This window comes from Homo sapiens, chromosome 2, assembly GCF_000001405.40.
Source record: "Homo sapiens chromosome 2, GRCh38.p14 Primary Assembly".
In the NCBI taxonomy this organism is placed as follows: domain Eukaryota; kingdom Metazoa; phylum Chordata; class Mammalia; order Primates; family Hominidae; genus Homo; species Homo sapiens.
Window position 1 is genome coordinate 60,986,871 of NC_000002.12, and position 25,433 is coordinate 61,012,303.

A 25,433-nucleotide genomic window follows, 5' to 3' on the forward strand; every position below is an offset into this window, starting at 1 on the left:
CTGTGCCCTTTGGGTGTTTCTTTCCCCATCTAGAAGACAGGAAAAAAGAGGTTTCTTGTAAAATTGGAAGTTTAAATGAGATAGTTTATGAGAATGTTAATTGTTGTTTTTATAATACAGGTCTTCTGACTCTCTGTTCAGTAATTCGAAAAATAAATTAAGTTGCTTCTTAAAATCCATTAAATTAAAAAGGATCTCCTCAAGCTTTGATCTTTCCAAATTTTCTAGTTTTAGTCTAAAAGTTTAAAGTAGATGATATGATATTTATCAAAATTTGCCATGAATCTGAGAATGGAACAGTATCTGCAGTGGGTTAGTTTCTAGCTATGAATGCTTGTTAACAGGTGTGCAAGACGTAATGAATGACCAAGGCAGATTTAACCACACACCCAGTGACAAAATGCAATAAGACACGGGAAAGGAGAAAGGCAGGGGTCCCTGGACCTTAATTCCTGTCCAATTTAAATCCTGCCACTATCTTTATTAGGACACCTTGATGTAATATTTGCAAGGAAGAGAGGAAGGGAGGGAGGAAGAAAGAGAAGGAGAAAAATATAGAAAGTGAGAGAGAGAGAAAAAAAAGGAAGAAGAAAAAAGGAACCACAGATTCCTGAAAATAATTTGGTGACAACCTGTCTAAAGGCAAGGTCTAATGACAAAGCTTTGGTGTGTGGGAAATTTCAAGCAAATTTTTGGAGAATGGCAATGTGATGAGCTATTCATATATCACCACTAATTGTGTACAGTATGATATAAAAATAGAAGCTAAAATAGCTAAACAGGTCAGTGCAGTGGCTCGTGCCGCACTTTGGGATGCTGAAGCGGGCAGATCACTTGAGGTCAGGAGTTCGAGACAAGCTTGGCCAACATCACGAAACCCCATCTCTACTAAAAACACAAAAATTAGCTGGGCCTGCCTGTAATCTCTGCTGCTCATAAGGCTGAGGTAGGAGAAAAGCTTGAGCCCAGGAGGTGGAGGCATACTAAACTGGCAGTGAGCCTAGATCATGCGACTGCACTCCAGCCTGGGGGACACAGAGAGCCTCTGTCTCAAGAAAAAAAAAAAAAATTAGCCAGGCATGGTGGCACACGCCTGTAGTCCCAGCTATTTGGGAGGCTGAGGCAGGAGAATCTCTTGAACCTGGGAGGAGGAGGGTGCAGTGAGCTGAGATCGTACCACTGCACTCCAGCCTGGGTGAGAGAGCAAGACTCCGTCTAAAATAAATAAATAAATAAATAAATTTAATTAAATAACTAAACAAACTTTAAAAGGCCTAGGCTCACGAGATGTCAAAAATGATTATTAAATACATTATGAGAATAACCAGTAATGAATTTTTTCTACATTTCTCTTTAGCCAACTACTCCTCCATTACATAACCTTAAAATCTGCAAACATTCTAAGGGTCACTGTTAGGTGTAAATTCTAATATTAATTGCCAAAAAGAATATAAACTACTATAAATAAAATTTTGACATGTTTTCTCCTCATAGTCCTCCCTGTAATTAGTTTGTAAAATAAAAACTAGATTGGTAGATTTCCATTAGGGTTGCTTTAGTGTAAGAAAGTATTTCTGATCTTACAGATGAAAAAAAAACAATATAGTACACTTTGGTCTTAGTAATTTGCTTAATGCAGTAAATACAAATAATGTAACTATAATACAAATTAAAATTAGACAAATGCAAAAATTTTATCTTAAAAGTAAACAAATATAACTGGCCTTCTTGGTAAAAAGGGAAGATCAAATTTGAGGATGCGGTTTTTGTTTGTTTGTTTTTTGAGATGGAGTCTTGCTCTGTAGCCCAGGCTGGAGTGCAACGGTGCAATCTCGGCTCACTGCAACCTCTGCCTCCTGGGTTCAGGTGATTCTCCTGCCTCAGCCTCCCGAATAGCTGGGATTACAAGTGCGCGCCACCATACCGGGTTAATTTTTTTTTTTTTTTTTTTAGTAGAGACGGGGTTTTGCCAGGTTGGCCAGGCTGGTCTCAAACTCCTGACCTCAGGTGATCCACCTGCCTTGGCTTCTCAAAGTGCTGGGATTACAGGCATGAGCCCCACCACCTGGCCAGGCATGCGCTTTTGTTAAGCCCCTAAAACAGCAGTACAGAGGTTTGTTAAAACTGCATAAAATCCACTAGGATGGGGACAGTAGGAGTGCAGGGAATAGCAACAATTTGAAAGCTAGAAAGCAGATTGAACAGTGGTAAAGGACTTAGCAGACATCCCAAAAGTTGAATCCTAAATTGGCAGCAGAAGAAATGAATACTCCACAATAAAAACAGGAGTTAAGCAGCACCAAGGAATTCTGGAAATAAGCAGCACCAAGGAATTCTGGAAGTGGTGGTGGAAGGTAAAGGGTAGGAATAAAGAAAATTGACTGTTTGCAAAAGAGGCAGATTCTCAGATCCCCTACCCCACTCCATGCAGCCAGGTGAATGTCCCTCTCTAACCCTAGTAAAAGAACAGAGTTTTATTTCCTGGAGATGGTAAAATGAAGGTCTTTTGATTGAGTCTTTTGAGTCACATTTAAGGGCATTAATACTTCACTGAGTAAACATAGGCAGAAAGATGATGACATACACACATAACCCCAGGCCCCACCCGTTTTTGGACCTTGGCAGATTGCTAGATAGGAGACTGCATCTCTATAAAGAAATGTCACCTGCCCAAGACCTAAATGAAGACAGATAGCTCAGTATTCGGTAAAGCTCACAGTGAATCTTCCCTCTTTATTCACATATCTAGCTTCCAACTGCTTATTCTTTTTTTTTTTCTGAGACAGAGTTTCACTCTTGTTGCCCAAGTGCAATCTCAGCTCACTGCAACCTCCTCCTCCTGAGCTCAAGCTATTCTCCTGCCTCAGCCTCCCAAGTAGCTGGGACTACAGGCACCCACCACCATGCCCGGCTAATTTTTAAAAATATATTTTTAGTAGAGATGGGCTTTCACCATGTTGGCCAGGCTGGTCTCGAACTCCTGACTTAAAGTGATCCATCCGCCTCGGCCTCCCAAAGTGCTAAGATTACAGGCATGAGCCACCACGCCCAGGCTCAACTGCTTCTTATTCTGTACTCTTCAATATGACCAACTCACCAACAATAAGCAGGCAACTTGACATAGAAGGTACCAAAATAAACTGAAAAAAGTAACTTTAAGAAACTAGAGACAAAAAAATTACACAATAGCAACACATATTGATATTCTCAGAAAGATAAAATATTGTGTTTAACAAGAATAGGATCCTATTTTTCTAAAACACCCATACACATACTCACACGCACGCACGGGAAAAAAAACCTAGAAAACAGAAAAGGTCTTGGAATTAAAAACATAGTATTACTATTTATGAAAAGCTAAACAAGATTGGAAAACAAAGTTGAGAAAATTTGTTAATAGTGGATCAACCCTCCTGAGGACAACTAGAAAAGCTGGACAACTAAAAAAAAATTGCATGAAGACATCAGAAAGTTAACAAGGTAGTGAAGAGTTACAGGGCCAAAATTCAGAAGAAGGGAACCAAAGATGAGCCAGGTGTTTTGAGCAGCTTTTCCCTAAGGGGCATCTGTTGTCAGAAGAGAGAGAGGGAATCCTGATAAGCCCTATGTTTTGGCTGAAACCATGAAGCATGACACCCTAGAAGCAGGGGTAAATGGGGACGAGAACAGTCCTTAAAGGTGTTAAAGATCAACTTCAAATCACTGCAATCCCTGTAGCTGGATTAAGGTAATTGCAATCCCTGTGGCTGGATTAAGGTAATTCAGAATTGCTAATGCCCCTAGCTAGAACTCAGAAGAAAACAAAAATCCTCTCTGGAGGAGAACATTATTTTAGTTTCAAATTATATTTTTCATAATCAATGTCCAAATTTTCTTTTCTTTTCTTTTCTTTTGAGACAGGGTCTCACTCTGTTGTCCAGGCTGGAGTGCAGTGGCATAATCTCAGCTCACTGCAGCCTCCACGTCTGGGTTCAAGCAATCCTCCCACCTCAGCCTCCTGAGTAGCTGGGACTACAGGTGCACACCACCAAGCCCAGATAACTTTCTTCATTTTTTGTTGACATGAGGTCTTGTTATGCTGCCCAGGCTGGTCTTGAACTCCTGGGCTCAAATGATCCTGAGTTGGCCCCCTAAAGTGCTGAAATTACAGGTGTGAACAACCATGCCTGGCCTAACATTTTATTTTTTTGTAGAGACGGAGTCTCTCTATGTTGCCCAGGCTGGTCTCAAACTCCTGGGCTCAGGCAATCCTCCTGCCTCAGTCTCCTAAAATGCTGGGATTACAGGCATGAGTCCCTGCACCTGGCCTGACCTATACTTTAAAAAACAAAAACTAAACTAAAGGATATTCTTCATGCAGAAGAATATAATCCCAGATGACAGCTGAAATAAAGGGTAATACACAAGATGAATATGTAGGTAAATCTGTGAATATTGACTGATTGTATAGAATATTACTTGTATAAAATAATGTCACATGAGATTTAAACATGTGTCAAATTAAAACACACACAATGAAATGTAAATTAAGAGATACAAGGAATCCAAGTATTCCAAGGTCTTTGCATTCTCTGGGAAAGATAAAAGTATTTATTTTTATTTGAGAGAGAGAGTCTCACTCTGTCATCCAGGATGGAGTGCAATGGCTCAATCTTGGCTCACTGCAGCCTCAACTTCCTGGGCTCAAACAATCCTCCTATCTCAGCCTCTTGAATAGCTGGGACTACAGGCATGCACCACCATGTCCAGCTAATTTTTTATTTTTTGTAGAAATGGGAGTACCAATTTAATTAGTACTTTTAAGAGTAAAGGAAAAACTGTAAATGCATAACTTCTAAGATAATGATATGTGTGAGGGGGTAGAATTCAAACAGAAAAATAATCCAAAAGAATTCTCATTATCCCTAATTCTGTTTAACAATGTACTAGCGATCTTAGCCAATGCAACAAAGCAAGAAAAAGAAATAAATATTACGAAAATTGGAGGGGAAAAGTCATTGTGCACAGACCATATGACCTCCAATTTAACGTGGTAGGGGACACCTCCCTGGGGCCAGACCAATAAAGCAGTAACTGAAATATCAGTTGCTGCATGCCACCTAAGAAACAAGTTGCAGATTGAATGTTACTCAACAGAAGCACTTTTTTTTTTTTTTTTTGAGACAGGGTTTCGCTCTGTCACCCAGGCTGGAGTATAGTGGTGCGATCTCAGCTAACTGCAACCTCCACTTCCTGGGTTCAAGCGATTCTCCTGCCTCAGCTTCCAAGTAGCTGGGACTACAGGTGCCTGCCACCACACCCAGCTAATTTTTACATTACATTTTTAGTAGAGACGGGTTTTCGCCATGTTGACCAAGCTGGTCGTGAACTTCTAGCCTCAAGTGATTCCCCTGTCTTAGCCTCCCAAAGTGCTGGGATTATAGGCATAAGCCACTATACGCAGCCAGAAGTACCTTAATACATGTCTACATTTAAAAAAAAATGTTTTGGAATACAAATTTAGCATTCATGACTAGCTACTGATTTACTCAATAGGGCATGAGTGCACATGCCCACTCCACAACAGGTCATGAATTTCTGTGATGCTTTCAGAATATGAAAGTCTCACTAAAATCACCAACTCACGATTTCTAATATGAATTTCTAGTGATAATACTAAAGGAATATCAGATAATCAATACACATCATAACACCCCAGCCTCACAGAAAATTTAAATCCTGGATGTGAACTAAATTCTAAATAGAAATCACTTCATATTATGCTTCTTAATATAAGACTAAAAGGGCTATTTATGTTAATACCTTTGCATCTATTTTATTATTTCATTTCCTTTTATATGGCTCATGACCACATTTAAATAAAATCCATTTTATTTTTTCCCCACACAAGTTAGTTCCCCTCACATTATCTTTACTCAGCTACTGGCAATAACATTTTAACAACCAGTTTAGAGAGAAACTTAGATTCCACCAGAAAAAAGAATCAAAGGTTTTGATCATACTCGATACCGCAACATTTACTTACACAAGTAGCTTTCAAATTATAATTTAATGAATACGATATATGGCTCTTTAATTTGCCATGGATTTAATTTTTAAAGATAAAAAACTAGCCCTCTGCAAGTACGTGCTGAGCACTCTTGCCCTGGCTCTGGAGACTGCCATATATCCAGCTGATCTCTGACGCACTAATTGTGAAACCAAAAGCTACACACAATAAAAAGGAAGTAGCCCTGTGAAATGTCAATCCAGTGCTCAACTAGGGTTTTTTACATCAGAGTTTTATAAATTATGAAAGTGTCCAGGCCAGGCGCAGTGGCTCACACCTGTAATCCGAGGACTTTGGAAGGCTGAGGCAGGCAGACCACAAGGTCAGGAGATTGACACCATCCTGGCCAACATGGTGAAACCCCATCTCTACTAAGAATACAAAAAAATTAGCCAGGTGTGGCGGCACATGGCTGCAGTCCCCGCTACTTGACAGGCTGAGGCAGAAGAATCACTTGAACCCGTGAGGTGGACGTTGCAGTGAGCTGAGATCATGCCACTGCACTCCAGCCTGGGAGACAGGGTGAGACTCTGTCTCAAAAAAAAAAAGAAAAAAAGAAAGGTCCAAATTGACTGGAAAATATGTATTACATTAAGAAAAACTGGATAACTTTGCATAATAAACATAATGGCAAGGAGAAAGATACTCAGTTTTTTAAGACAAAATTCCCAGCTAAACATTTCCACCTGGGGCCTTGAATGGTATCTAGTCTAGAAAACAGATTCCACTAGTATTGATCCTGTATTAATATCAGTGAGGAAAAATATATTCAGTTTTATTTAAAAGGGAAGATTTGTAAAAATAACTTTCAATATTTGGAGCAGTAAAACCTAATTTTAAAAAGGAGGAGCAGCTGTAGCACTGCAATTGATTGACACTTTTTTTTTTGAGATGGAGTCTTGCTCTGTTGCCCAGTCTGGAGTGCAGTGGCGCGATCTCGGCTCACTGCAAGTTCCGCCTCCCATGTTCACGCCATTCTCCTTTCTCAGCCTCCCGAGTAGCTGGGACTACAGGCGCCTGCCACCAAGCCTGGCAAATTTTTTGTATTTTTAGTAGAGATGGGGTTTCACCCTGTTAGCCAGGATGGTCTCGATCTCCTGACCTCGTGATCTGCCTGCCTCGGCCTCCCACAGTGCTGGGATTACAGGCGTGAGCCACCGCGCCCGGCCAGATCGACACTTCGTAACTGACAAACCTGGCCAAAGACTATTTTGCTGGTCCTTCCTTCTGCTTGGAGGGAAGAAAGTAGTAGTACTATTCCTTAAGAAAGAGGTTTCTGACAATGAGTTTGGATGTGTCTGACTTCAAGGTAGCACTTGCCACCTAGCCCCCTCTTCTTGGACATTTGGACATATCCATGACAAAGGATGTGGCTAAAAACTTCATTGGGACTTCCACCTCCAATTAAGGGACTTCACCATCATAATTCATCATCACACATACATGCATCAATCTTCCTCAGAGCAAAAAAAAAAAAGGAAGTCAAAAATAGCTCCTCACAAAAATGACTTGAAATTCCTGAATTTTAAGATAGGTGCTGTAATAAAATATTTGACTCAAAACATCTTTGCACCTATTCCAGTCATCTGATAACAAAACCTGAACATAAATGTGATGGGAAAGTGCTAAAATTGTAATTTAAATTTTATTTCCAGAGTTATCATTTTAGAGAATCACAAAATAAACTGGTGGTTTACCATTACTCTTTTTAAATGATCACACTTGTTAAATAATTATGAGAGTTCTGGTTTCATATTTTTACCAAGAATCCTTTCCCTAACCTTGAAGATACTGGACCATTTGGAGAAAGAAAATACTAAAGTCAAAACCTAGGCTAAGTCCCACTTATAACACAGAAAGACAATAACCCTTTTGAAATCTGACCAAGGCCGGGTGCAGTGGCTCACGCCTATAATCCCAGCATTTTGGGAGGCTGAAGCAGGCGGATCACCTGAGGTCAGGAGTTTGAGACCAGCCTGGCCAACAAGGCAAAACCCTGTCTCTACTAAAAATACAAAAAATCAGCCGGGCAAGGTGACGAGCGTCTGTAGTCCCAGCTACCTGGGAGCCTGAGGCAGGAGAATCGCTAGAACCCGGGAGGTGGAAATTGCAGTAAGCCAAGATCACACCACTGCACTCCAGCCTGGGTGACAGAGTGAAACTCTGTCTCAAAAAAAAAGCGTAAACTTTGGAGTTTAATAGATCAGAGTTCAAATCCTAGCTCTGCTATTTATCAGCAATGTGACCTTCAGCTTCAATTTCATCATCTGTAAAATGGAGATGATAACACCACCTACTTTAAGGGGTTGTGATTATTAAATGAAAGAGCACATGCAACACACTCTGCCATGAAGATATTCAATAACTGTTGGTGGCTTGTTTTCCTAAGAAAGGGGTTTTATCTTGCTCCTCCTAAAAAATAACTACACATTATGGTGGTGTGGCTGTTTTACATATAAATGATTGCTTTATACATATGCATACATACATATATATTTGTTATTATTATGAATAATTTTTCAAAAACAATCATATCTTAGTAAGCTAGAATTATTAGGTCTAAAACACAGTGGTGGTATCAGAAAAAAGGACAGTTCTACGCAACAAGAAAAACCTAGACCTGAAATAGGCAAGAGTCTGAATTAGAAGTTCCCCTTTTCAGCAACTTAACTACGCCACACGGTCCTAAAAATTAATGGAGGAAAAATAGTTTAATAAAGATCTCTACAGTTAGAAGGTAGCAATGTGCTAATACGTTCAATTTCACAGGGAAATCATTTTAAAGAAAAAGGATGTGTTTCATCTTGTATTTTTTTTTATTCTGTTACATTACCATTTCTTATTGTAAATTTTAAAGAGGCCAAATGTGACAATTCACAAGAATAAGACCATACACATTTTTAAAAGAAACTTCAAATCTTTGAGGCTACCTCATGTTCTGAATGCACCTGATCTCCCTCAATTACCTACACTGCTAGATGAGCCACAGCAACTTCTTTTCTTCCTTGCTTCCTCCTCCATTATACTTAGCTGGGTTCAGGCCAAGGAAAAGGCAATGCCATAAAGAGATGCATCTTTAAGCATTTAAATATGTGTCTGAATAACCTGCCAACTGCAATCCTGAATCCAATATACATTATAGTATTGTGGTGGTCTTTAGAATTAGGCTTGCTTCTAGTCCTGCTTGACTGTGGCTTCCTCCTCACAGGAATGTGATTTGTTCCTCCTTGCTGCATGCCACAGTGACCTCGGGGACTGGGTGCTTTATCTGTTGGGCTTCTTGTGCCAGCACCCCAATAACGAGTTATTAGATCTCTTCAATATCTGCTTTGACTCTTTGATAGTTGGACTTCTGATTGTACATGCCAACCAGGGCTTGGGTTCTATATAGACCTTGACTAATCACATGTCACTCACTCTTTCTCCCTTGCAACACATCCTAGTAGTGTATCACGTAACAGAGTCCTAAACCTGCACCCATGTCTAGTCTTATGTTCTCCTTAACACAGCAGCTCTGCCTGGATTCATCACTCTGGTGATCTTCTGACCTTTAGTGATGTTCATGAGTGTATGGCTTAATAAGGGGAGTAGTTAAGAAAAGGTAATATCCACGGAGCCAAGGTAGTCAGGTAAATAAAACATATGAAAATACACAAGATGTAGAGATGGTATGGTTTAAAAAAAAAAAAACTTAAAAAGCAACAGCAGCATGAAGCAGGGAGGCATATCCAGATTCCAATAAACGGGACGCATGGGCAAATCACATACCCCTACGAGACTTGGAGCCTTGGTTTTCTCCTCTTTAAGTGAGCATAAGTGTGATGACTACTGAAGTGGTCTCAATCTGTGAAGCTGAAAAAAATTGCCCATAGCATATCTTCTTTCCAATCTACAGATACTACCCATTAACTGTCAGAGATTAAAAGGGGATGCCTTATACACAAAGGTTGGAAACTCCTGGACTGTCAATCAGACATTCCCAATAGGTATCAATGGGTTTACACTTGGGTGGTGGCCTGGATAAGACTCTGACAAATCACAACCATATACACATTGATGTTTTTCAATAAGTGCCATAAAAAGCTGGGGAGTCCTGTTCTAGCTGATCACCAAGGTCTCATATAGATATATGATTCCATGATTCTAACAACACAGAATTTCATACACCAATGTTACATTCACAGAAGCAAGTTCTTGGAGTTACCTTTGATAAGATAGAGTGGATTGCTGCATGAACACACTCATTTCCTGTGAATGGTTATAAAAATGGCAGCCTGTGTGCCTAAAACTAGCAAGGTTACTATACACTCGCCAACCCACTCATAAAAAGTCTATTGAAAGATGCTTAAGGGGTAGTCCCTAAAAGAACTAAGACTCAAAAGCATTTAACTTTTAAAAGGACTTAGTGGGGCCAGGCGCGGTGGCTCACGCCTGTACTCCCAGCACTTTGAGAGGCCGAGGTGGGTGGATCACGAGGTCAGGAGATCGAGACCATCCTGGCTAACACAGTGAAACCTCGTCTGTACTAAAAATACAAAAAATTAGCCAGGCCGGGTGGCAGGCACCTGTAGTCCCAGCTACTCGGGAGGCTGAGGCAGGAGAATGGCGTGAACCCGGGAGGCGGGGTTTGCAGTGAGCTGAGATCGCATCACTGCACTCCAGCCTGGGTGACAGAGCAAGACTCCATCTCAAAAAAAAAAAAAAAAAAAAGGACTTAGTGGAATGCTCTTTTCCCATAAATGGAAGTTTAGCCTAATATTAGCATATGTCTGGGACATTCATTGTATAATAGTTTTGTGTGGCATTATGCTGTAGAAGTTTAAAGGAATCAAACTTGCTTTGCATGGATAAGTGGACCATATAGGAACTGAAGGGAGTTCTAAACTAATCTAACCAAAAATAGGGCTATAAATTCTGAAAACTCCTTAGTAAGCTCAGAAAAGGCTTATTGAATGAAGTGGACCTTGGGTTGGTCTTACATGGTGGGTGAGAGAGAACACACACAGATTTAGGAAGAGTGCCTGTCATACAAAATAAAAATCGAGAAGCCATGCACAAATGGACAAAAAGCAGAAAATACACATGCTAAATCAGAAAGCGGAGTTAATGAACAAAGATGACAGCTCATGCCTGCACACACAATATATATATAGCTCCTATACTTAAAGTTGAGAATTTTGACACATTCTATTTATGAGCTAAACATAATTAGAAAAAATATAGTCCTTTAGAAAAAGAACATCAATCAATAACAGAAGGGAAATTACCAATTAAAAAAGATTCTAGGACTAATGGCCTGAGAGTTTAAGAGGCCTCTGTAAACACATACAAAATTTTTAGTATGTGCATTTTTAGGACAAAGGAATTCACTGCTTTCTTCAGATTCTGAATGAGATCAATAATCCTAAATTAGTTATGAATCCACAGATTTAAGTAAAAATCCAAAGCCATTTGAATATCCATTTTCCAGAATTTAAAAAGACAATTTCAGGTTGGGTGCAGTGGTTCATGCCTGTAATCCTAGCACTTTGGGAGGCCGAGGCGGACGCATCACCTGTCAGGAGTTCAAGACCAGCCTGGCCAACATGGCGAAACCCCGTCTCTACTAAAAATACAAAAATTAGCCGGATGTGGTGGCATGCACCTGTAGTCCCAGCTACTCAGGGAGGCTGAAGCGGGAGAATCGCTTGAACCTGGGAGGCAGAGGTTGCAGTGAGCCCAGATCACGCCACTGCACTCCAATCTGGGTGACAGAGTGAGACTTCATCTTAAAAAAAAAAAAAGAAGACAATTTCTTAAATAAAAAAATGCTGCTACAGAAATTGTACTGCTGTCTGTGGCCACACCACCCTGAATGTGCCTGATCTCACATGATCTCAAAAGCTAAGCAGGGTCAGGCCTGGTTAGCACTTGGATGGGTAGAAATGGTAGTGCTTTTATTCTTAGCTAATTTTCTAGGGTCATGTATAATTTGTAGTACTTACTGCAAAGTATGCAGATATAAAGTATAATAAATGATAGGAAAAAAGTTTTGATTTGACAAAACTCCAACCATATCAAGTTGCAAATTGATAAGCAGGTGTTTCATCCAAAGTAACACTTAAAAGACAATATATACATTTAAAGTCAATGGACTAAGCAAACTGTTTCCCATACACTACCCATGAAAAGAGACCAATAAGCCAAACTGATAGTACAATATTGCCCTCTACTGGACTCAACTAGTAAAGATGAACCTAAAAACTAAAACTGAAAAGCATTTAGCTTTTAAAAGGACTTAATGGAATACTCTTTTCCCATAAATACAAATTTAGCCTAATATTAGCATATGTCTGGGACATTCATTCTATAGTTTTTGTGTGGCATTATGATGTAGAAGTTTAGAGGAATCAATCATGAATATAAAATAACCACTATAGGGCCGGGTGCAGTAGCCTGTAATACTAGCACTTTGGGAGGCCACACCAGGAGGATCACTTGAACCCAGGAGTTCGAGACCAGCCTTGGCAACATAGGGAAACCTCATTGCTACAAAAAAATAAAAAATAAGTTATCTGGGCATAGTGGCATGCACCTGTGGTCCCAGTTACTCAGGAAGGTGAGGCGGGAGGATTACTTGAGCCTAAGAGGTCAAGTGCTGCAGTGAGCTGTGATCACATCACTGCACTCTGGCCTGGGTGACAGAGAGAGACCCCATCTCAAATAAATAAACACTATAATAAGTATTTTTCTTAAAATTATATAGAATCTTAGAGTTGAAAAGGCTTAAGATCTCTAGTCTAACCAACTATATAGTGCACACTTTCTTTCTATGTATCTTGGCCAAGTACATTGGCACTCTGTATCTGTGGATCTTGCATCTATGGATTCAATCAACCCTGGATAGAAAACATTTAGGGGGGAAAAAGGATCTGTACTGAGCAGGTACAGGCTTTTTCCTGTGATTATTCCCCAAATAATGTAGCATAACAACTATTTACATAGCACCCACATTGTAGTATATAAGTAATCTTGAGATGATTTAAAGTATACAAGAGGATGTGTGTAAGTTATATGCAAATAGTATACCATTTTATATGAGAAACTTAAGCATCTGTGGATTTTGGTATCTGTGAGGGGCTCGGGGGTCCTAGAACCAACCCCCCACAGATATCAAGGGACAACTGTATTTTCCAGCCTTGGCTTAAACACCCTAATGACGTGAAATCTCTGGAAACAATCTATCCTGTTCTGGATAATTCTAAATTCTTAATAGCTCTTGATTCTATCCTTGCAGCAATCTAATTCCTCTTTTATAAGGAAGCCCCTCAAATATTTAAGGAAAGCAAACTCATCCCACTGAATCATCTATTCTCAAAATTAAATAACCCAAGCTCCTTCAGCAGTGGCTCCTGTGACCAGGTTTCAGATGGCTCCACCATTCTGAATGCACTTAATCCTCTAAATGTGTATTCATTTTCTATTGCTTCTATAACAAATTATCACAAATTTAGTGGTTTAAAACAACACCAATTTATTATCTTTAGGTCCCAGGTCTGACACAGGTCTCACTGGCTTAAAATCAAGGTGCCAGCAGGGCTGTGTTCCCTTCTGGAGGCTGTAAGTAGTAAATCTGTTTCCTTGCCTTTTCTAGCTTCAGAAGAACATCTGCATTCCTTGGCTCATGGCTCCCTTCCTCCATCTTCAGAATAAACATTACATCTCTCTTACCATTATGTTATAATCACATCTCCCTCTTACCCTGACCTTTGTGGCCAACTTTCTTCCCCTTTGGAAAATTGCAACTGCCTTTATCTGTCTCCAGTCATTTGTAAAATCTGCTATTTTTAACCCATTTTCCTAGTGTTCCATTATTAGAACGCTAAGCTTGTGGGAGATATTTATATCCTACTGCTCTAGGTCATCGCCAAGGTCTGATTTTTCACCAAAAAAATTTGCAATCTCCAGCATAAATGGGTTAAAAGCCCTCAAAAATCAAGAATAGCTGCAAGTTCTTTCTGAAGCTATACTGAAATGTAATGCACCCAGGTCTAAACACCTGAACCCATCTTGAAAAGCTTCACCATGTGGAGCATTCGTTCTCCCTTACCAATGACCAGTCTACCTCTTTTCGGCAGGAAGATCATTTTCCTCGACATAAAGGACAGAAGCAAAACAGGATTTTTCAGAGCCCTGCTTTCTCTATATCATGCATCAGCAGTATACTATCAGTTCCAAATAGCAGATCTATCCATGCTTTTCATCTATTTCTTGCTCTAAACATAACTTTAAGTACACAAATCTTCCTTAGCAATTCTTGAAAGCTTCTATTCATTAGTAGCTTTAGTTTTCTGGTTGCTGTTCTTATAGACATAAGCCATAAGCCACCTCTTCTTTTTTTTTTTTAGATGTAGTCTCCCCAGGCTGGAGTGCAGTGGCACAATCTTGGCTCACTGCAGCCTCCCCCTCCCGGGTTCAAATGATTCTCCTGCCTCAGCCTCCCAAATAGCTGGGACTACAGGTGCACACCACCACACCCGTCTAATTTTTGTATTTTTAGTAGAGACGGGATTTTACTATGTTGGCTAGGCTGGTCTCGAACTCCTGACCTCAGATGATCCACCCACCTCAGCCCCACAAAGTGCTGGGATTATAGGCATGAGCCAACACCCAGCCAAGCCATCCTCTTTCATTTGCATTAATTTGACTTCACCTTTCCTGTATTTCTTCTGAAACTGATCCCAGGTTGGCAAAAAATTTAACTGCTGAAGTCGGATGACAGGTACACAGGAGTTCATAGGCCAAACTAAAAAGTCAAATAAATATATCTAAATACAAGCCTTTGTGTAAAAACAGAGGCAGAGATAGAAAGAGATCCCTACTTCTTCATTCAGATGTATTTTCCCCCACCCTTTTTTTTATTCATTGAGATAGTTTGGTTTGAATTAAAATGTGAATTGCACTTTCTCTGATGCTCTCAATCCTTTTAATTTATCTTCCAGCACAGAATCCTATGCCATTTTTCTTTGCCTTTTCTTTGTAGTGTTTGAAATCCACTTATCAAAAGTTTAGGATATATTCTACTTATGCCTCTTCCTCCCATCCTTCAGGAATACACATTTAAAAGGCTATCAGTTTTTCATTTAGGACTAGATTAGTTCCCCCACCATCCTTTAGGAAAATGGTTCTCAAAGTTTTGTCATTGTAACAGCACAAGCATTACCTATGAGCTTGTTAGAAATGCAAATTCATGAGTCTCACCTGACCTACTGTATTAGCATCTCTGGGAATGGGACCTGGGAAACTCTCCAAGTGAGTCTCATGCATGTTAGAGAACCACTACTTTAGGAAAAGAAACAGTTCCAATCTAAAAGTTGTCAGATAACACACTTTTAGTTAAACATGATTTCCATCATGTGCCGAAACACTGGGAGTCCCTCACACTACTGTATTCATTAGCCTTTGTGATTATTTTGTATCTGTAAATAAACAACCCTTCCCTTGGCCAGATATTATACAGTATACTTCTACTACTCTATCTATCCTGTTTTGTTTTGTTTTTTGAGACAGGATCTTACTTTGTTCCAGGCTGGAGTGGGAGCACAGTGGTGCAATCTCAGCTCACCGCAACCTCCGCCTCCTGGGCTACAGTGATCCTCCCACCTCAGTCTCCCAAGGAGCTGGGACCACAGGTACCACCATGAGATCACTCTCAGGATCTCAAATCTCAGTGCAGGTACATAATTTCTTGCCATATCACACTACTACATCTTTCCTCTTAACAAATCCGAGCCTTATAAGAAGGAATTATCCTTCCATTATTACATTCAAATGATAAGACCAAACCCAGAAACTCACCATGACAGTCGTAAGGTATTTATTACTCTCTTATAATCTCAAATTTATTATTAAAATGTTTATGCCATTATAGACTTTGGAGACTCTAAGCATTATGTCCCACAACTTTCCATATTGTTCTCTTGTGAAACCCTGAATACCGCCTTTATTTATTCTACTTACTACGTCTTACTGTAACACTGTTTCACCAGTTAATCTGCTTATGCTTCTCTTCTTTAGCAGTATTAAGTTTAAAGCTGTTCTGATTGATTAGCTAGTTCCTTCTAAGAAAACACATTTAGGAGATATACTCCATCCTGCTTCCATATTCTCCTGAACTCAGTGGAAAATGATTATTATACTAACTGTGAACAAAAATATAGACTTTTCTTTCTAAGCTTTTAAATTAATGCTTTTATAATGATGATAAATAAAAACTATTGGGGCCGGGAGCGGTGGCTCACACCTGTAATCCCAGAAGTTTGGGAGGCCGAGGCGGGCAGATCACTTGCGATCAGGAGTTTGAGACCAGCCTGACCAACATGGTGAAACCGCGTCTCTACTAAAAATACAAAAATTAGCTGGGTGTGGTGGCATATGCCTGTAATCCCAGCTACTCGTGAGGCTGAGGCAGGAAAATTGCTTGAACTCAGGAGGCGGAGGCTGCAGTGAGCAGAGACTGCGCCACTGCACTCCAGCCTGGCTGACAGAACAAGACCCTGTCTCAAAAAAAAAAAAAAAAAATTGCTGTCATCAGAAAGGGATTCGTAGAACCAATAATATAGATGCGTTAATGCAAATTTTATTGCTTAATTTTTTTTTTTTTTGAGACAGGGTCTTGCCCTGTCACCCAGGCTAGAGTACAGTGGTGTGATCATGGCTCACTGCAGCTTCAACCCCCCAGGTCCAAGCAATCCCCCCACCTTGGTCTCCAGGGTAGCTGGGACTACAGATACGCATCACCACACCCAGCTAATTTTTAAATTTTTTTGTAGAGACAGAGTCTCACTGTGTTGCCCAGGCTGGTCTTGAACTGACTCAAGAGATCCTCCCACCTCAGCCTCCCAAAGTGCTGGGATTACAGGCATGAGCTACTGTGACTAGCCATTTAATTTTTTAAAAAACTTTACTTGAGGCCACCCTCTGTTTCTTTTGTAAGCAGGAATATAATAAATACTACCATATTGATAAAGTGTTGTTTGCTTTAAATAGATCTGTGATAATCTACTTCTTAGAAGTGGAAAAAATCAAATCATTCAAATGGACTCAATTATATATTCTGGTGTGAATTATGAGATAATTGACATCAATCAATTTTATGGATAGTATATTGACGTTCGTTCTACAAACAGACAAAGAAGTTCTAAGGTAGAGATATTTACAAGGTCTAAGTTGAAAGCCACAATGTAGAACATGGCACTAGAGAAATCACAGAATTTAATTTATATTCAAAATGCAGAATATTCTGAAGATATACGTAACTAGCTTAAACTGAGATGTGTAACAAATAAGTGGTTTAAAAAGCAATTTCTATCCAACCTGGCTTGCACAGCATATCTCAACTCCAAAGAAATAATAAAAGACGGCAATAAAATAAAGTAACATGTGGCCAAGCATGGTGGCTCACGCCTGTAATTCCAGCACTTTGGGAGGCCAAGGCGGGCAGATCATGAGGTCAGAAGACAGATCAAGACCATCCTGGCTAACACGGTGAAACCCCATCTCTACTAAAAACTACAAAAAATTAGCCGGGCATGGTGGCGGGCACCTGTAGTCCCTGCTACTTGAAATGCTGAGGCAGGAGAACGGCATGAACCTGGGAGGCGGAGCTTGCAGTGAGCTGAGATCGTGCCACTGCACTCCAGCCTGCGTGACAGAGACAGACTCCGTCTCAAAAAAAAAAAAAAAAAAAAAAAGAGAAAGTAACATAAAAACAGCAAATCACGAAGTGAACCATAAACATAATTTTCTGAAGAAACCTGGGATGTGAAAAGAGTATACTGCATATAAAACTGTACTTTCTTGAATTTTTATTCTTAGGAAATGAATAGGTTAAAATATATTAGTCATTACTACAAATAAAACAATAAAACATAGCACACTAAACTATGGAAACATATTAATTCTTCAATAATCAGAACAGTCACATATTTCTGCTAAATAGTTTTCTGGCTAAAATTAGTTATAAAAAGTAGAGTTTAAGCAGAATAATTCTATTTTTAAAAACAGTATCTTCTGGCCGGGCACAGTGACTCATGCCTGTAATCCCAGCACTCTGGGAGGCCGAGGTGGGCGGATCACCTGAGGTCGGGTGTCGGAGACCAGCCTGACCAACGTGGAGAAACCCCGTCTCTACTAAAAATACAAAAATAAAAATTAGCCAGGCGTGGTGACGCATGCCTGTAAGCCCAGCTACTTGGGAGACTGAGGCAGGAGAATCGCTTGAACCCGGGAGGCAGAGGTTGCAGTGAGCCGAGATGGCGCCATTGTACTCCAGCCTGGGCAACAAGAACGAAACTCCGTCTCAAAACAAACAAACAAACAAACAAACAAATCTTCTGTTTCTAATACGGAATATAAATACCTTATAAATAGTAACATTAAGCTAATATTGTTAAAATCATCAAATAAGTGATAAAATGGATAATATGAATCTTAATGTAAAAATATAAACTTTGATTCACAGGCTCTGAGGGTTAGGGAAATATATAAACATAAGCTTTGAGAGGAAGGGTTTGGTTTTAAGATATATAACCACATTCAGAAAATATACTTCTTATTCCTATTTGTTTCTCAAAACTTTCACTAAAGTGACAGTCACTCAGCTTTCGGAAGTCTGTTTCTCTCTACCAAAATTGGACCAGAAGATGGCACATCAGTGAGAAATGCTTTGATGATTGACTAGAAAATGACTCTAAGTGTTTATAAGCCCAGTTATATCATCATCATCATCCCCTTTATTTTTCCATTTGCTCAGTTATCTTGTCAGCAACACAGATACTATATAAAATCATTCTACCCTTTTTCGTTTCCTGGCTCTTCTGTATCATTCTATCCAGCTTCAACAATCTTCAGCTTATTTGGAGCTAATAAACATGCTCACCCAAAGAAAGTGAGGGTTTATGATGTAATGTTCTGGTGATACTGTAGGTTTCTTAGGGGAAAGACATCTCATAAATATAAACGAATATGCTTAGAACCCATGGTTGTAATTTGAGATTACAGAAGTTTCTCACTATGCTTCATTTAACAGTATTAGCAAAGCTTTATGTTTTCATGTCAGTTTTGACACATAAGAATATTACAGCAGTGACTTTTTTTTTCACTTAACAAAGAAAACAGTTTAAAAAAAATGAGGCCATTTCTCTCCCTTTTATCATTGACTGGAAGATACGCCATCTTTTTATATTTTACTCCAAAGGGAAGAAGGCTCATCATAATTGAAATGACCCTATTCTAGGACTATTCTAAAATGCACATATCCACCTCAAAAGATCTCTGGAAACCTAGTCAAATCTCTTTCTCTGACCATCATGCCTCACATGGAGCTAATAATGAATGTCTGCAACTGATTGAGGGACTTTAAAAAAGATGGCAGTCCTAGGACAAACTAACTTGCTTTGTTAGGACACAACTAATTCCTTTTGTCATTCACTCACTCAACAAGTATTTATTAAGCAGCTATAAATTGCTTCAATCATTCAATAAGTAGACAAAATGTAAAAAATATAATAGAGTAAGGAATATTTCTACATTCCCATTTTTTGAGAAATTCCTAGCATGCACTTCACATACAGTTTTATGCATGCAAATGACCTTACCTCTCTTACAGATAGTTGTGGTGGGAAGGAGACTGAAAATACCAAGCTGGTGAATTCAAACCCAGAGGCCTCAACCTTTTGGCACACCTGAAAAAGCATTACAATTATGTAAATTCCCAGGAATTGCTGAAAATATTACTTACCCTAATCTTAATAACATGAATTTCTGGTCCAGGAGATGACATGGCAAAACTTCCAAACTTTCACATTTGACAGTGGAACACTCACAAATATCTTGAGATTAAATATTGCCTAACTATGACCCTGAAGACTAATACCACAAGGAACCAAAACAGCCAGGAGTAACAGCTTCAGAATAAACTGTTAAGTGTCAAAATAGCTTTCTATTAGGTCACCCCTAACTTTCAAACAAAATAAACCCAAATATAGCACTCTTGACAGAAAAAACAAACAAAAGGCAATCCCACATTCAATCATTTACCTTCTACAAGGCTGTACCACTAGTCTTTTCAGGACAATAATAAGGACAACTAGAAATGAACTTTTCTGTAACTTAGCTATGTTAAACAGCAAAATGAAAACAAACTGCTATATTTTTCTTCAATTAAATAGCACTTATGACTGAAATACATGAATACACATTTTATTAATTTTCAGATATGTCAATTAAAAAGTAATTTGAGAAGAGTAGGCTTTTGTTTTTTTTTTTTTAAAAAAAAGAAAATATTTTAATGATCCAATTGTGTGAAACAAGTTGAAATGAACGGCAGTGTTCCTTTCAATATAAAAATTCTTGGACCTGGGCATGGTGGCGTGCACCTGTAGTCCCAGCTACTTGGGAGGCTAAGGCGTGAGGATCACTTGAGCCCAGAGGTGGAGGTTGCAATGAGCCAATATCATGCCACTGCACTCCAGCCTGGGTGACAGAGTGGGACCCTGTCTCAAAAAAGACAAAAACAGAAACCAGAAGGTCGGGCGTGGTGGCTCACGCCTATAATCCCAACACTTTGGGAGGCCAAGTCAGGCGGATCACCTGAGGTCAGGAGTTCGAGACCAGACTGGCCAACATGGTGAAACCCCGTCTCTACTAAAAATACAAAAATCAGCTGGGCGTGGTGGCACGTGCCTGTAATCCCAGCTATTCAGGAGGCTGAGGCAAGAGAATCATTTGAACCTGGGAGGCGGAGGTTGTAGTGAGCTGAGATCTCACCACTGCACTCCAGCCTGGGTGACAAGAGCCAAACTCTGTCTCAAAAAAAAAAAAAAACAGAAAAAAAAAAGAATTTGGCCGGGCACGGTGGCTCACGCCTGTAATCCCAGCACTTTGGGCCAAGGCGGGCGGATCACGAGGTCAAGAGATTAAGACCATCCTGGCTAACACGGTGAAACCCCGTCTCTACTGAAAATACAGAAAATTAGCTGGGTGGCGGGTGCCTGTAGTCCCAGCTACTCGGGAGGCTGAGGTAGGAGAATGGCATGAACCTGGGAGGCGGAGCTTACAGTGAGCAGAGATTGCGCCACTGTGCTCCGGCCTGGGCAACAGAGCGAGACTCTGTCTCCAAAAAAAAAAAAAAGAATTCTTGGCCTTGGCCGGGTACAGTGACTCACACCTCTAATCCCAGTACTTTGGAGGCCAAGGCAGGAGGATGACTTGAGGCCAGGAGTTCAAGACCAGCACAGTAACATAGGGAGATCCTGCCTCTACAAAAAGATTAAAAAATTAGGGCTGGGCACAGTGGCTCATGTCTGTAATCCCAGCACTTTGGGAGGCCAAGGCAGGCGAATCATCTGAGATCGGGAGTTCGAGACCAACCTGACCAACATGGAGAAACCCTGTCTCTACTAAAAATACAAAATTAGCCAGGCATGAGGCTGAGGCAGGACAATTGCTTGAACCTGGGAGGCGGAGGCTGCGATGAGCCAAGATCACACCATTGCACTACAGCCTGGACAACAAGAGCAAAACTCCATCTCAAAAAAAAAGAAAAAAAATTAGGTGGGCATGGTGGTGCATGCCTGTAGTCCTAGCTACTCAGAAGGCTGATGTAGGAGGATTGCTTGAGCCCCAGGAGTTGGAGGCTGCAGTCAGCTGTGATTGTACCACTGCACTTCAGCCTAGGCAACAGAATGAGACCCAAAAAAGAATTGTCTTGTCTTGAAAAAAGGAAAGAAAAAAGAATTCTTGGTTTTAAGACTGAAAATCTCTACATAATTGCACCTATAATGAAAAACAGGTTATTTACCTTTTTAATGAAATCTTTCTCACAGAATTCTTGAAGAATTCCTAGGCATACATTACATACATTTAAATTTGAGTTCTTGGAAGCAGTGCTTCCAACATGACTAACAGAGATCCTTCCCTCTCCATTTTGACTTAGATTATCAATACTATCTTCCAGTTCTTGCAGTCGAATTTTCTTGGGAGGTGGGTTCATAACTTCCAAAATTAATTCATCTTTTTCAGTTTCCAGAAATTTCTGTAGTTCATTGAGCAACTCCTGGAAAGTTAATGAAAGAAAAAGTAATGACCCACTGACAATGTCCTTAAGGCTTTCTAGGTAAGATGAAACAAGAAAACATGAGTGAAAATTAGGACATATCACAAATTTTACAATGTTGACATATCAATTCTGAAGCAATCCAGTTATTAGCCAGCATTGGCTTTTATGGAATTTAAAAGAGAATTACCTATCTCTATTATATATGTGAATACTTTTTCAAAAGAGTTCCATATATCAGTGAAGCAAAAGTCATAAATCTGAGGAGAAAGGCTCCAATACAAATTTATTAATTTGTAGTTCTGTTGTGAGAGTCATTCATTGCTAATTTCAGTAAAAACAAACTTTAGTTCTAATGATTAACATATAAAAAGTACAAACTGAATTTCCATCCTTGCTAGGTTATTTAATAACCTCACAATCACTGAAAGCTCACAAGTACAATATTTATTTAATATGAAATCTGATCATTAGGGTAGTCTAATAAGTAAAAATAATTTGGAGAAAATTTACTAAGAAAGGTACACAAATGCTGACAATGCTGAAAGTTAGCATATGATTACAAACCATTTCCATATATTAATTGAAAGCCATGCTCTACTATATTCCAGTTTGCCTAATTTGTCTTGTATTAGAATTTAAAAACCTGCATTTCTTTGAAACCATTCTCATATTTCTCTCATTCAGATATTCCTCTCATCAAAATACTCAGAGGATTTTCCTCTGTTTTGTTTAGACATGTTTTATTATGCCATTGTTGAAAAAGTATATTTTTCAAATTCATTCAGATGACAATTTACTGACTGTAAAGGGAAAAAATCTTTCACTCAAACAAATTTAAATCCATTTTATTGAGAAATTAGCTCTCCTGCTTTAACAGAGAAATATACATACATACATACATATACAGGTACATTTTGACTCACACAAATATGTTTGTTGTTACCTAAGATCTATAATATAGATATAACATAGTGCATATACAGATGTGCATGTACATACATAGTTACATGAATAGAACAGATCAAAATTTATGAACATTTCCAAAAAGCTGTCCAAATATTCTTGTATATTGCCTTACATAAAATGAAACAAACGAAAGTTGATAACACTCAGTCTCTTAATATAATATAAATTTAAAACCTAATAACATATAATAGATAATAGGTTACAGTGTGTCTGAAAAAAATGTGTAAGCAGGGTTACACAAAACCAGTCTTATTACTTTACAGTCATATTGTGTATAAATGAATATACACATATTTAAATCATCATAGCACAAGTACCATTTCTGGTTTTTTGTTTTTGTTTTTTTAATTTTCAGACGGAGTCTCACACTGTTGCCCAGGCTAGAGTGCAGTGGCATGATCTCGGCTCACTGCAACCTCCGCACCCCCCACCCCTGGGTTCAAGCAATTCTCCTGCCTCAGCCTCCCAAGTAGCTGGGATCACAGGCACCTGCCATGGCGCCCAGCTAATATTTGTATTTTTAGTAGAGACAGGGTTTCATCATCTTGGCCAGGCTGGTCTTGAACCCCTGACCTCGTGATCCACCCGCCTCGGCCTCCCAAAGTGCTAGGATTACAGGCGTGAGCCACCGCACCCAGCCAATTTCTGGTTTTCAAAGTGTTTCCACGTACTTTATTAGGTATTGTCCCTTAAAGTCCTGTGAGGTGGGTATTATCATCATTCCCATTTACAGAGGAGTAAACTGAAGCTGGAAAGTGGTGGAACTGGGATTCAAATCCATGTCTTCTAGTTCCAAATCCTAGGTTTTGAATTCAGTCAGACTGTTCAAATCCTAGCTTGCTCACTTAATAGCTGTGTAACTTTGGGCAGGTTGCTTAACCTCTCTGTATCTCAGTTTCTTCATCTGAAAATAGAGACAATCATAGTATGTACTTACCTAATCAGTTATTATGAGAATTATATAAGACCTTGACATATAGTAATGATAATTGAATATTGTGTATTATTATTGCCAAAATAATAGAAACAACTAATAACATTTTAAAAATAACTGATACTACTAACTCCTGGACAATTTTTTAAATTATAAGAAACTGTGTGTGTATATGTTGTATACATACTGTTTATAATGTATATATTTACATATGTATTACTATCTGCTTCTAAAAAGAATATCACTTTTAGAATCAAACATTTCATAAAGATGTTACATATCTTATGCAAAAAAGTGTTATATTAAACCTCAAAGCTCTCTGTATATTACCATAAATGTCAAAGATCTCTGTATATTACTTTTGTCATTAATAACAGTAATAATGATGATAAGCATTTATTTCTAGAGGATTCCAAATACCTATTTATAAACACAACTGGTAATACAGAAAATGGGAAAAACAGAAAAAGGCAACCATACCCACAATGCTTCCACATAGTAGGACATGTAAGGAATATTAGCCCCTCCTGGGAGGAAGCAATATTTTGTGATATTCTGTTTAGATATCCTTTAGGAAACATCTATACAAGTGTTCAAATGCACCAGGGAGTTCCTCCACAAAGATCCCATTACACTAAATGTTAGAAAGCTAGATATAATCACTTAAGAAGGAACTTACATTTCTGAGACTATTCCAAAATTATGAATATCACTCATTTTATTATAGTTTTTTAATTTAAAAAAGAGTTATGAATAGATACCTGCCCTCAAAAGTACAAGCATTCATTGTAAAATACAGAGAACCTTCTCTTAATTTGAAAAAAAAAAAAAAAGAAAAGAAAATACCTTGTATGGAAGTTTGTAAGGTGCATGAAAATCCACACCACAGAATCTGAAGATACATCTTGGACAAGTACCAGTATTGAGCAACAACTGGGCCACATGCTTGTTTTCCTCAGTCAGTGGGAACATATTGAATAATTATAACTAGAAAGAAAAGAAGTAAAACTAATGAGCAGCTTCTGCGTTTTACTGTCACAGACAAGTCATCATGTTTAGGGATAAAAACTAGCTTTCATTTGAAAAACACTATTGTGTACTCTCTAACCAAGCCCCTTTCATTACACACATATTATAAAATACAAATTTTAAGGAAGTTCATAAGATGGATCCGGTAAAGGTTTCTAATTGCTAAGGAATTTAGTGTAGCATTTTGGATTATGATAAAATACATCAATATAACTAAGTTGATCAAAAGAAATAAAAATAATCAAGAATGGTTGCTTCTGAGGAGGGTAATGAAAACAGAGGTACAGGGTGAAATTTTGCTTTTTGTTTTGTACCATTCAGTATTGTACAAAGTTAATTCATTAAACTTTTCCTGT

The 25,433-nt window shown here is 38.9% G+C and overlaps 1 protein-coding gene and 1 pseudogene across 22 annotated transcripts in view, besides 1 other annotated feature; one reads left to right on the forward strand and one right to left on the reverse strand.

Moving 5' to 3' along the window:
* The window catches only part of PUS10 (pseudouridine synthase 10), a 78,037-nt gene that overhangs the window by 46,648 nt on the left and 5,956 nt on the right, over positions 1-25,433 (reverse strand). For 14 of the 22 annotated variants that reach the window (XM_011532574.4, NM_144709.4, XM_024452720.2 and 11 more), the window contains 3 exons: positions 24,895-25,035; positions 21,891-22,145; positions 19,687-19,773 (listed from right to left, as the gene is read on the reverse strand). In XM_011532574.4, the coding sequence (XP_011530876.1) occupies positions 19,687-19,773; positions 21,891-22,145; positions 24,895-25,020 (468 nt within the window). In that variant the 5' untranslated portion in view covers positions 25,021-25,035. Of the gene's footprint in view, positions 1-19,686; positions 19,774-21,890; positions 22,146-23,785; positions 24,019-24,894; positions 25,036-25,433 lie in introns of those variants that run through there. The other 8 variants (XM_017003428.3, XM_047443481.1, XM_047443478.1 and 5 more) reach the window with 2 other exon arrangements.
* Positions 6,076-6,425: an enhancer, noted in NCBI's record as "active region_15826". NCBI's record gives its function as "activates an Ori minimal core promoter by ATAC-STARR-seq in GM12878 lymphoblastoid cells {active_cell/tissue: GM12878}" and the evidence as "EXISTENCE:reporter gene assay evidence [ECO:0000049][PMID:35858748]".
* Positions 11,882-12,018, forward strand: RNA5SP95 (RNA, 5S ribosomal pseudogene 95; annotated as a pseudogene).